This window comes from Homo sapiens, chromosome 5 (genome assembly GCF_000001405.40).
Source record: "Homo sapiens chromosome 5, GRCh38.p14 Primary Assembly".
Taxonomy (NCBI): domain Eukaryota; kingdom Metazoa; phylum Chordata; class Mammalia; order Primates; family Hominidae; genus Homo; species Homo sapiens.
Genome location: NC_000005.10, coordinates 150308476 through 150319472, shown reverse-complemented (window position 1 = coordinate 150319472; position 10997 = coordinate 150308476). Strand labels below are relative to the sequence as shown.

Sequence of the window (10997 nt, the reverse complement as noted above, 5' to 3'; positions counted from 1 at the left end):
TGAATGCCAGAGTGACTGAACTTTGCAGGCAGGGAGAGGACCCCAGCAAGCCTGGGCAGCCCCCTCCCCTGCCAGGCCCGGTCCCTTCCTGCAGGTGTTGTGCTGAGCCTCTGGCTGACAGCTGTGTTTTCTCTGCTCAGCAAAGGCTTTAACCATAAACAGGAGAAATCGGGTGACCCCTAGTCCCCGGAAAGCCTCACCTCAGGGGCCTGGGTGAGAAAGGGCTCCTTCTGTCTGAGGTAGGGGTGGGCTCTGCATTCCTCAGTTTCAACCATTTGGTCAGATTTCCTCCTGGAATGCAGCTGGAGGGCCCGGCCCCCCGCCAGAAATAGCACAGTGCAGGGTGGCTTTGCTGTGGTCTCCCTGCCTACTTTGGGGAGGGGCTCACTTTCAAGGTCCCTGCTGGTGCTGAGAGGGCTGATGTTCACAGCTGTCTGGATGGGACATGGATGCCCCTCAGAAAGATGGTTAAGCTCTTCTCAGCTTAGTTCTCATTCAGGTATTCGAGAGTCTTACTCTGAACTCCAGCCTACGGAGGCATGGACTTGCATTTAGCAAGAAATGAACATGTTTTAACATGGCCCACAAGGTCTGGCCACTCCCTGCCCACATCTCACCCTGCACTGCTCCCTTCTCCCTGCAGTCCCACTGCCTCCTTGCTGTGTCATCCACAGCAAAGCCTTCTCCTGACACTGGTGCCTGCCTTGACCTCGCCGTGCTTGAGACACTCCTCCTGCCTCTTCACAAGCCCAGGCTCCCCTCATGGCTCAGCCCTCCTGGCTCAGGAAATGCCACCTCTTCAGAGAGGTTGCCCCTGGCCACTCCATCCAAAGTGGCCTCTTCCCATCACTCTCCACTGTATCTGTCATTTTCTTGTTTATTGTCCATTTGTCTATTTATTGTCTCATTTTCCCCCACTAGAATATAAGTTCCATGATGGAAGGAACCATGTCTATTGATATCTGTATTTTCTTTGCTCAACGAAGGGGTTAACCGTGAACATCAGTGATACGGTTAGGCTTTGTGTCCCCACCCAAGTCTCCTCTTGAACTGTAATCCCCATAATCCCCACGTGTCAAGGGAGAGTCCAGGTGGAGGTAACTGGATTATGGTGGGTGGGTCGCGATAGAGTTCTCATGGGATCTGATGGTTTTATAAGGGGCTCTTCCTTTTTTGCTTGGCACTTCTACCTGCTGCTTTGTAAACAAGGTGCTTTGTTTCCCCTTCATCTTCTGCCATTATTGTAAGTTTCTTGAGGCCTTCCCCAGCCATGCTGAACTGATGAGTCAATTAAGCCTCTTTCCTCTGTAAATTACCCAGTCTCAGGCAGTTCTTTATAGCAGTATGAAAACAGAATAATACAATTAGCAATTGGGTGACCGTCAGTCCTCAGAAAGCCTGTTCTGAACTCTGTCCCCCAACTCCTATAGGTACTCAATATATAAATACTCATCACATGAATGAATGAGTGAATAAATGAAAGGAGAATGTTAGAAGAGACCCTGGATAATGTCTACTATAATATTATCTAAATAATAACTACCAATTTCTAAGAGCTTTATCAGTGTCCTATACTGTGCTAAGTGCATTACATACATGATCTCATTTAGTTTTGCAGTAGCAGGCACTGGTTTTCCCAGTTTCCCTTTTTCAGAGGCCCAGAGAGGTTAAGTGACTTGCCAAGGTCACACTGTAAGAAGCAGACTTAGGACTCCAACCCCAAACTAGGTTTGCCTTGTGGCAAAACCCATGCTCTTAACCCTCACCCCAACAGCCACCCGGAGATGGGGTTGACTTGTACTCAAAGGGGTAAGGGAGGTTATCAGGGAAACTTCTCACTGCCTCCTACCATCCCTTCCCAGCCCAGACAGTTGCTGGTACTTTCTGCCCAGTACTACTTCACAGAGTCAGTGTCCAGCTTCCGAACAGCATGGAGGCAGCTCTGAGTCATCCGAATCCCAGTGGCCCCCACAGGTCAGCTCTCAGGCCATGACCCAAGGCCACTCATCCGCTGACTCTTTTACTCCTAGCCTAGCTGGAGGATGTGCCAGGCTCACCAAGGTACAGGGGAAGGGCCCTGAGGTTGAGCTGCGCTGCTCTCAGCCACAAAGAATGCCGCTGACTCACAGCAGTGAGGCAGGCAGACGGTGACTCAGGGGTCACACAGGCACAGCCCCCAGGGAGGAGAAGAGAGGGTCTTGTGGTAGGATGCGGACCAGGCCCCAGTTCATGGCCTGACATGCAGTGAGGGCTCTCTCCATGCCAGCGATTATCATCTTGCTTAATGACTCAGACTGCCTTCCCCTCAGTGGGCCTTGACCTCCCTGCCTGTGCATGGAGCAGATGCAGAGGATGTCCTGTGATGGGATGTCATCTGTGATTAAGGTAATCAAAGCGGGTGAGAACCAGGTGATGCAAAGCTGCGAATACCAATGTGAAGAATCGAGACTGGATTTTCTGGAGGCCAAAGCCCAGACCTGAGAGTTGGGAGTCCTGGGTTCGAGCCCTGCCCTTTACAAGGACTCACTGTATGACCTTGGTAAACATTACCTTGCCTCTCTGAGCCCTGATTCTTGCATCTGTCAAAAGCAAGCTTCTAATGGACAGAGTGTCCTGTCACCAACTTGACTTTGTCTATACTCTGCCCTCTGCTGAGAACGCTCTGGCCACCGTCTCAGCCTCCTGATTCTTCAAGGGTCTGTTTTCAAATGCCACTTCCTCAAAAGAGTCTTGCAGAATCTCCTGTTCAAAATTAATCTCTCACAGATATTAAAATGATGGCATAAATCTACATTTAATGACATAAAAAATGTCCGAAATATATTAAATGAGAAAAAAGCAGGAGACAGAATAAAATGCATTTTAATCTATATATATGTCTATGAATGGAAATGCATAGGAAAAAAAAGGCCTAGAAGAATATATATAAATGTTAACTATGACAATCTCTGAGTCATGGAAATTATGTCGGTCTTTATTTTTCTTAATATTTTTTGAGTGTTTCTAAAATGCATGCAACAAGCATGTTCCTTTTATAAACAAGAGACAATAGAGCTTCTTCCCAATTAAAAACATCATCTCCACTTTTCCTAAACTAAGCCCTGAGTGTTGGTTATGGCTGCGGCCCTAAATTGTTGTGTGTGCTTATATAAGATGCTTCATCTCTCTAGGCCTCATTTTTCTCACCTATAAAATGAAGAAGTCGGCTGGGCATGGTGTGGCTCATGCCTGTAATCTTGGCACTTTTTGGGAGGCTGAGGCTGGTGGATCATCTGAGGTCAGGAGTTCAAGAGTGGCCTGGCCAACGTGGCAAAACCTTGTTTCTACTAAAAATATAAAAATTAGCTGGGTGTGGTGGCGGGCGCCTGTAATCCCAGCTACTTGGGAGGCTGAGGCAGGAGAATCGCTTGAACCTGAGAGATGGAGGTTTCAGTGAGCCGAGATCGTGCCACTGCACTCCAGTCTCAAAAAAAAAAAAAAAAAAAAAAAGTCATACTCTGCAGTCTCTAAATTAATGTTCTTCAATATAACTTTCTGTAATGGTAGAAAATGTCTACGTCTTTGCTACCCAGTTTGGTACCACTAGCTTTTGAAAGGTGGCTATTGTTATTTAGGAATTGAATTAATTTAAATCTAACTAGCCACAGGCAGCTAGTGGCCACCATGTTGATGGAGTAGTTCTAAATTTTCTCCTATCTCCAATGTTTGATTGTGTCACATCTTGTTTATTAAACTATAGTTTAATAAATAACTACTCTTTTCCAAAAGAGTACTCTGTCTTCCACCCTGCAAGAATGTGACTACCCTCAACTGTAGCCACCTGACTCCAGTGGGAGCTGCCCTTTCTTTTGTAAGTGCCACCCTACACCCTGTTGATTGATCATCATTTCAAAAGGAAACCCTCTCCATTCTCCCTTTCCCGTAGACCCTGGCAACCACCAGTCCAGGTTCTGTCTCTATGAATTTACCTATTCCAGATATTTCACACAAATGGAATTGCACAATACACGAACTTTTGCATGTGGCTTCTTTTACTTAGCGTAATGTTTCTGAAGTTCATCTGGGTTGTAGTATATATCAGGACTTCATTTCTTTTTTATGGCTGAATAATATTCCATTGTGTGTATTTACTACAATTTATTCATTTATCCATTGAAAGGACATTTGGGCTGTTTCCACCTTTTGGCTATTGTAAATAATGCTATGAGGAACGTATATTTGAATCCCTGTTTTCAACTTTTTTGGGTATATACCTAGGAGTGGAATTGCTGGGTCATATGGCAATTCTGTGTCTAACTTTGTGAAGTACCGTCAAACTATTTTCCACAGGGGCATTTTACTTTCCCACCAGCCATGTCTAAATTCTCTGATACATTTTAACTTGGACCTAGAGAGTGGCTCTTAGTTCCTTCCTGGTCATGGTGAGGGCTACTTGTCTGGAAGGATGACAATGACGCCCAAAGAAATGTAAAGGTGAAAGGTGGAAAGAGTTCAAGTCATCTCCGAAGCTTGATTCCATCCTGTCTCCTTCCTTGTGGTTACGCGAGTCAGGAAATTCCTCCTTCTTCCCTAAGCTGGCAAGTTGGGTTTCTGTCACCCAAAGAGTTCGGACTGATGCCCGCTCGGTGCTGGGTTCAGAGTCTTGTATTTGAGGGTGCTCTAGGTAGAACCATCTACAATGTCAGCCACCAAATGCCAGCCTGGACCCTGCAACTGAATCACTTTTTGATTCCCTCTGTTCTTCCCCAGGTCCTGAGCCAAGAGCTTCAGACAGAACCCTAAGGAAAACTTGACCCCCGGCAGGTCACCTGAATATGATAGCAAGCCAGAGAGGCTGGTGGCAAAGGCAGGCAGGAGGTGGGTTGGAGGAGGAGAAGAGGGCTGGGGTTCCCCTGAGGACACTGTGGAGCAGGGAAGGGAGCCTGGAGGCCTGGCTGGGGGGAGGAGGAGGAGGAGGAGGATGAGGAGGAGGAGGAGGAGGAAAAGGTGGAAAGAAAAACCCAGTGGAATCGCCGATGTTTAGATGGCCTTTCCCAGGATAATTGAGACAGCTCGTCTGTCCGTGGCCAAACATGAAGGCAACATTTTTTCAGGTTCTGAGAGGAAATAACTCCAATTTCATTTTCTGGCTGGAGGAAAGGAATGAAAAATGATGAAGAAGGGCAGTTTTGGAGACAGAGTCCAGGCCACTCTGACCCCTTAATTCTCTAGAACCTCAAACCTGACATCTGGGCCCATGGGAGCAGAGCCCAGCCAGTTGTTTCTCTAAATAGGACCCAGAGAGCACACTCAGGCACCAGGGAAGTCCTAGATGCAGACAACAGAAAAAAGGCCCAGACTCAGGAGCAGTGTAGTGTTGGGAGGATGAGCACCGGCCACAGGTGTCACCACAGTCTTGACAGGAAAATGGTTTTGTAATCATTTTCTAAACATAGAATGGAAAGATAATCCACTCTTCCCCCTTGCATGGTTAATTGAATTTTTCTCTTTAATTTTTGATGGTTGGAATGCATAAAACATGAGATGTAGTCACTGTGTGTAATGCTGCTGCTGGTTGGTGGGCCACAGACATGGGTTTTCTGGTAAATTCTCCTTCACGTGCTATTGGCTTGCTAGGGCTGCCATAACAAAATACCATAAACTTAGCAAGCGATCTAATTTCTCAGTCCTGGAGGCTAAAAGTTGGAGATCAAGGTGTTGGCAGGGTTGATTCCTTCTAAGGCCATGAGGGAATCTGTTCCGGGCCTCTCCCCCAGCCTCTGGTGGTTTGTTGGCAATCTCTGGTGCTCCCTGGCTTGGAGATGTGTCACGCTAATCTCGCCTTCATCAAAGCTTGGTGTTCTTCTTTTGCACGTCTGCCTGTGTCCAAATTTCCCCTTTTTATAAGAATACCAGTCATATTGGATTAAGGGCCTACCCTAATGACCTCATTTTAACTTGATTATCTCTGTAAAAATCCTATTTCCAGATCAGGTCTACATTCTGACACATTCTGAGGTAGGTGGGGTTTAAACATTTCTTGTTTTTTTATTTTTTTTTTTTTTTGAGGGGTGGGGACATAATTCAACCCATAACATGATATCCATCAAAAAAAGAAAAAGAAAACAGAAGTCCAGGCATGGTGGCTCATGCCTGTGATCCCAGCACTTTGGGAGGCTGAGAGGCAGGCAGATCACTTGAGGCCAGAAGTTTGAGACCAGCCTGGCCAACATGGTTAAACCCCGTCTCTATGAAAAATACAAAAATTAGCCAGGCATGGTGCTGTGCACCTCTAGTCCCAGCTACTCAGGAGGCTGAGGCAGGAGAATTGCTTGAACCCGGGAAGCGGAGGTTGCAGTGAGCAGAGATCATGCCATTGCACTCCAGCCTGGGAGACACAGTGAGACTTTATCTCAAAAAAAAAGAAAAAAGAAAAAGAAAAGTCCTAGCCAGGGCTAGGAAAAAAAAAAAAAAAGAAAGAAAGAAAGAAAAAGGTTTTGGTGTGTGTATTTATAATGATATGTACTGTATTGTAGAATATTCCTGACAGGAAATAATTTCCATTTTGCTTAAGCATCTTTGAGCACTGAGTCTTTTGCTTAGAATTTTACAGGTCTGATAATTGGAAGAATTTTCCACAGCTTAGCTCTTGGCTCCTTAGATTTCAAAATTGTCCCTCTTCTCCGACACATATACTTCTATTGCCGGGGACTGGAAGACACCTTCACGCTGCCATCCAAGCTTGGGGCCTGCACCTTTGTGTCATAATATGTCAAGTGAGTCAGCTCAGCAGACAGCAAGAGCCCTGGAAGACATTTCTATACCGAGACAGCCGACTTAACTGTGCATGTATCCCCAGTTCAACTTCCCGTGAGCCAGACCCCCAAAATGCCACAGTCCTTCTAAAGCCATCTGTCCTGAGGAAAATAACAGTGAAGAGGTCAGAGGCAAGAGTCATTGATCACAACTGATTGCAGTTAAGATGACGGGCTCAACTTTCAGATACGTGATCATGTGAACACAGTGTCGGAGCCCCCCTCAGGGATTAGAGAGGACCCTGTGCTAGGGAGGGGTCTGGAAGCTTAAGCTGTACTAATTTCATGGTCAATCTGTCTCAGAATGGGTGCCTCTCCCTATCTTAAAATAATCGTATGAGCAGGCTGGGCGTGGTGGCTCACACCTGTAATTCCAGCACGTTGGGAGGCTGAGGCTGGTGGATTACCTGATTGTCAGGAGTTCGAGACCATCCTGACCAACAGGGTGAAACCCTGTCTCTACTAAAAATACAAAAAAAAAAAAAAAAAAAAAATTAGCTGGGCATGCTGGCAGGCGCCTGTAATCCCAGCTACTTGGGAGGCTGAGGCAGGAGAATCGCTTGAACCAGGGAGGCGGAGGTTGCGGTGAGCTGAGATCGCGTAATTGCACTCCAATCTGGGTGACAGAGCAAGATTCTGTCTCAAAAAAAAAAAAAAAATCCTACGAACATTCATGAGATACAGACTTACTCATCTACTATAAGCCAGGGTCTGTGCTAGGAACTGAGGAGGCAGAGAAAAACTAAGCCAGCTGAGTGCAAATCCAATTTCTAGGTATCACAACCTCCGTGAGAGACCTGGCCCTGAGAGACTGGGTTTGCCCAAGAGACTAGGTTCTCCCAAGGGTGGGTCATAGGATAAAGGAAAAAACTAGGCTCAGGTTAGGCTATAAGATGGGGCTTTTCCCTTTGATAAGCATATTGAAAATCCCTGTGAGATGAAGCCTCCCTCCAGGGTAATCTTGATGCTGAAAGGCCTCTTCATAATCAGAATTCCAGACCAAAGCGAGTCCACCCATAAAGCCAGGAGCATGGGAATTGACACCCTCAAATGAGACCTTGGAGCCATGCTGCTCGCAGGAAACTATCCCCTGCCTGAAGTCCTGGATCCAGGGGACGAGGGCTCAGCCTCCAGGTCCAACTGCCAGCGTTGGTCTGGAAGCTTCCTGCTGAGCAGAAACTCACTAATCCCTAAACCAGCTCTTCCTGCCAGTGACCAGCCAATTACCACTGCCTGCCTCAGCTCCAGCCCAGCTTCATTCAGGACCGAGGCACTCTTAATCATGTGAAGGACACATATTTTGGGGTGTTCTCCTCTCTGAGCCTCAGTGTCTTCACAAGTCTAAGGGAATGACAATGGACCATCAACTCCAAGAGGGCCAGGTGGTTTGTCTTGTCCATATCTGTAGTCTTAGTCCCAGTGAGTGAAAGGCACATAATAGTTGCTCAGTAAGTGCTTGTTGAGCAAATGAATTGGATAAAGAGATCCTTGATTTCTGTGTGGATAAGACAGCATTCTCGCAGTAGTTGGTACTCATCCAGTAGCAAGTGACAGATGTCAACACAAATTGGTGTAAGAAAGAAGGAACGTATTGTTCCCATAACTGAAGTCCAGGGGAGTAGTTCTAGCTTCAGGTAGGACTGGAAAGGACCCATGTACTCAAATGGTGTTATTGGGAATCTGTCTTTACCTCTCACTTTGCTTTTTTTCTCTTCACTACAGTTAGCTCCAGGCAGGTCCAGGCTTCTAATCTTCTTGCTCCAAGTCTAGCAGCAAAGAGACAATGAACAATCTTGTTCTCAAAAATCCAAACAAAATTCTCAGAATTGAGTCTCACTAGACAGTCTTAGGTCACTTGTGCATTCCTGAACTAATCACTTTGACCAGGGACATTTGATGCTCTAATTGTCCAAGCCTGCTCCTGGAGTCAACCCATCAGTGGAAACCCATCAAAGAAAATCTAGGTTCTGTTTCCAAGAAAGGGGAGCAGCTGCAAGGCAGACAATAGGTGCCCATCACAGTATTTGACTAAAGTCTGAACACCTAGGCAACTCTTACCTTCTCTAAGCTTCAGTCTCTTCATATGTCATTGATAACAATGATGACACTAACAAAATTCCTGCCCCTTTTACATCCCAGAGCTTTCGTGAGGTCCAAACAAGATCATGAGTTATGATAATAATTAACATTTATTGAAGGATCACTGGACATCCGGCCCTGTGCTAAGTAAACCCTTTACACATTTAGTTTTATCGTTACCACAATCCACGTTACTGATGAGAAGCAGGTTGAGAGAGGCTACAAGGCTTGTATACTGGTCACACAGCTAGGAAGGGTGGAGCTGGGGTTTAAAGCAGTACCCTCAAGCATGAAGCTATATATAAACTGTAAATAATTTTACAAGTGTAAGGGATTATTAGTAACGGCCTGTACTATTAATAATAGAAAATATTTAAAACCCTGAAAGGAAATTCAAATAAATTCAAACAAATGTTTGTTTAGCACCTACTATGGGCTGATCACTCACCAGGGGCTCAGAAAGAGACACATAAATAACTCTGAAACAGGCAGACTGTGATCTAATAGAACCATAAACATGCCCCAGGGGACTGTGGAGAGCAAGAGATTGACTGAATAGGGAAGGAAGGGAGGAGGAGGTCTAGAAAAGTCTCTTGGAAGCGGTGGGATTTGAGCTGGGCTTTAAAGATTAAAGGACTTCAACAAAGGAAGGGAAAGGGAAAATCAACTTTTAAGAGACCTGAAAGGATCTAAAGACTCAGAACAGAGTTCTTGGATAAGGGTTCAGCACTTCTATGCAAAATAACTTTAGCACCAGCAGGGACTTCAAAAGTGATTGACTTAGCAGAGCACAGTAGTTGCCATGGGAACAGAGGCAAGCCTCATCCCTGTCATTAGAGAGCATCTCTGGCTTTGAGCAGTCTAGCCAAGGCCAGGAGGCAGCGGGGGCTGGGTTGTGCTATCCCTTAGAAGAAAAACCCAGCAAGATTGCTGCCCCGAGAGACTGACTCTCATTTCACAGGGAGGCAGAGCTGACAGGTGACATCTGGGTCTGAGAACATAGAAAGCCAGAGGAAGCCTCTGCCTCAAGGGGCTTTGGGACATCCTGAAGCTATTGGAGCAGGCAAGGGAGCCTCAAGGAGGGAATGGGAAGGGCAGGGGACAAGCCTGAGAGCGGCTTCCAAGATGGATCAATTCCCACTCAGTCTGGGAGGAGCAGAGCAGTGCTGGAGGCAGCTCCACCCAGCATCCCAGCGTGGCAGGGGGTGGAGGGCGTCTCCCAGAGCATGCACTCATGTCACTCCTAGGCCCACTCAGACCTCTCAGGCCTCTGGGGCCCACTGCCAGGGCATTCCAGTGCATTGGGAGCGTTGGCATCTAACCACTCAAGTGCAGAGGGGACCCCATTCACAGGCTTGGTGACAGGAGAGCATATGGTGGGGACTTTAATGCAGCAGGCAATAGGTTTGACACCTATATTCAAATCATGGCCTTGACACTTTCTAGCTGTGTGACTTTGGGCAAGTTACTCACCCTTTCTGTGTTTCTCGGTTTCTCCATGGGCAAGATGCAGATAATGATAATAATTTTACCTACCTTATAGGTAGGTAAGAATTTAGTGAGATAATAGATATAAAGAGTTACGCATGGTACCTGGCACAGTAGATCGTCAATAAATGTAAGCTATTATATTATTATTATCACTTCCGAATTTCAATTTGGTATCGAGTCAGGTTTTTTTAATTTATTTATTTTTATTTCAGGCAGTGTCTCTTATCATTTGTGCTAAAAGCCAGTTTCTCCAAGTATAGTAGATGATGACAATGACAGCAGTAATAGTAGTGACGGGACCCATTTACCTTCCATATATCCAGTGACATTATCATGAAGAAGGAAGGCAAAGTTCTAGTGCTGAATGCCAGGCTAAACGCTCGAGCTTTTTATTTCAGGCAGCTAGTGGCTATTGAAATTTTGGAGGAGAATAACTTGATCAGGGGAATGTAGATTTTTGCCCTGAGGCTATACACTTGTAGAAATAGAATCTAAGTATAACAACAACAAAGCTTAGTAACAAAAACAATAATAGCTACCATTTTCAGAGAGCTAATTGTATACCAGGCACTGTGCTAAGAGCTTCAGAAGCCTTGTCTGTTGTAATCCTCACAACAATCTTATGAGGTTATA

General features: G+C 45.9%; 4 annotated features.

The window, feature by feature from the left end:
• Positions 1369-2568: an enhancer, noted in NCBI's record as "BRD4-independent group 4 enhancer chr5:149696468-149697667 (GRCh37/hg19 assembly coordinates)". NCBI's record gives its function as "activates an origin of replication core promoter dependent on BRD2, P300/CBP, MED14 and CDK7 cofactors, and independent of BRD4, by STARR-seq in HCT116 cells {active_cell/tissue: HCT116}" and the evidence as "EXISTENCE:reporter gene assay evidence [ECO:0000049][PMID:35650434]".
• Positions 1933-2227: an enhancer, noted in NCBI's record as "tiled region #14436; HepG2 Activating DNase unmatched - State 5:Enh, and K562 Activating DNase unmatched - State 8:EnhW". NCBI's record gives its function as "activates a minimal TATA promoter and a strong SV40 promoter by Sharpr-MPRA in HepG2 and K562 cells {active_cell/tissue: HepG2 | K562}" and the evidence as "EXISTENCE:reporter gene assay evidence [ECO:0000049][PMID:27701403]".
• Positions 9294-9927: an enhancer, noted in NCBI's record as "NANOG-H3K4me1 hESC enhancer chr5:149689109-149689742 (GRCh37/hg19 assembly coordinates)". NCBI's record gives its function as "activates a minimal SCP1, AML or CMV promoter by ChIP-STARR-seq in primed H9 embryonic stem cells {active_cell/tissue: H9 hESC(primed)}" and the evidence as "EXISTENCE:reporter gene assay evidence [ECO:0000049][PMID:30033119]".
• Positions 9928-10561: an enhancer, noted in NCBI's record as "H3K4me1 hESC enhancer chr5:149688475-149689108 (GRCh37/hg19 assembly coordinates)". NCBI's record gives its function as "activates a minimal SCP1, AML or CMV promoter by ChIP-STARR-seq in primed H9 embryonic stem cells {active_cell/tissue: H9 hESC(primed)}" and the evidence as "EXISTENCE:reporter gene assay evidence [ECO:0000049][PMID:30033119]".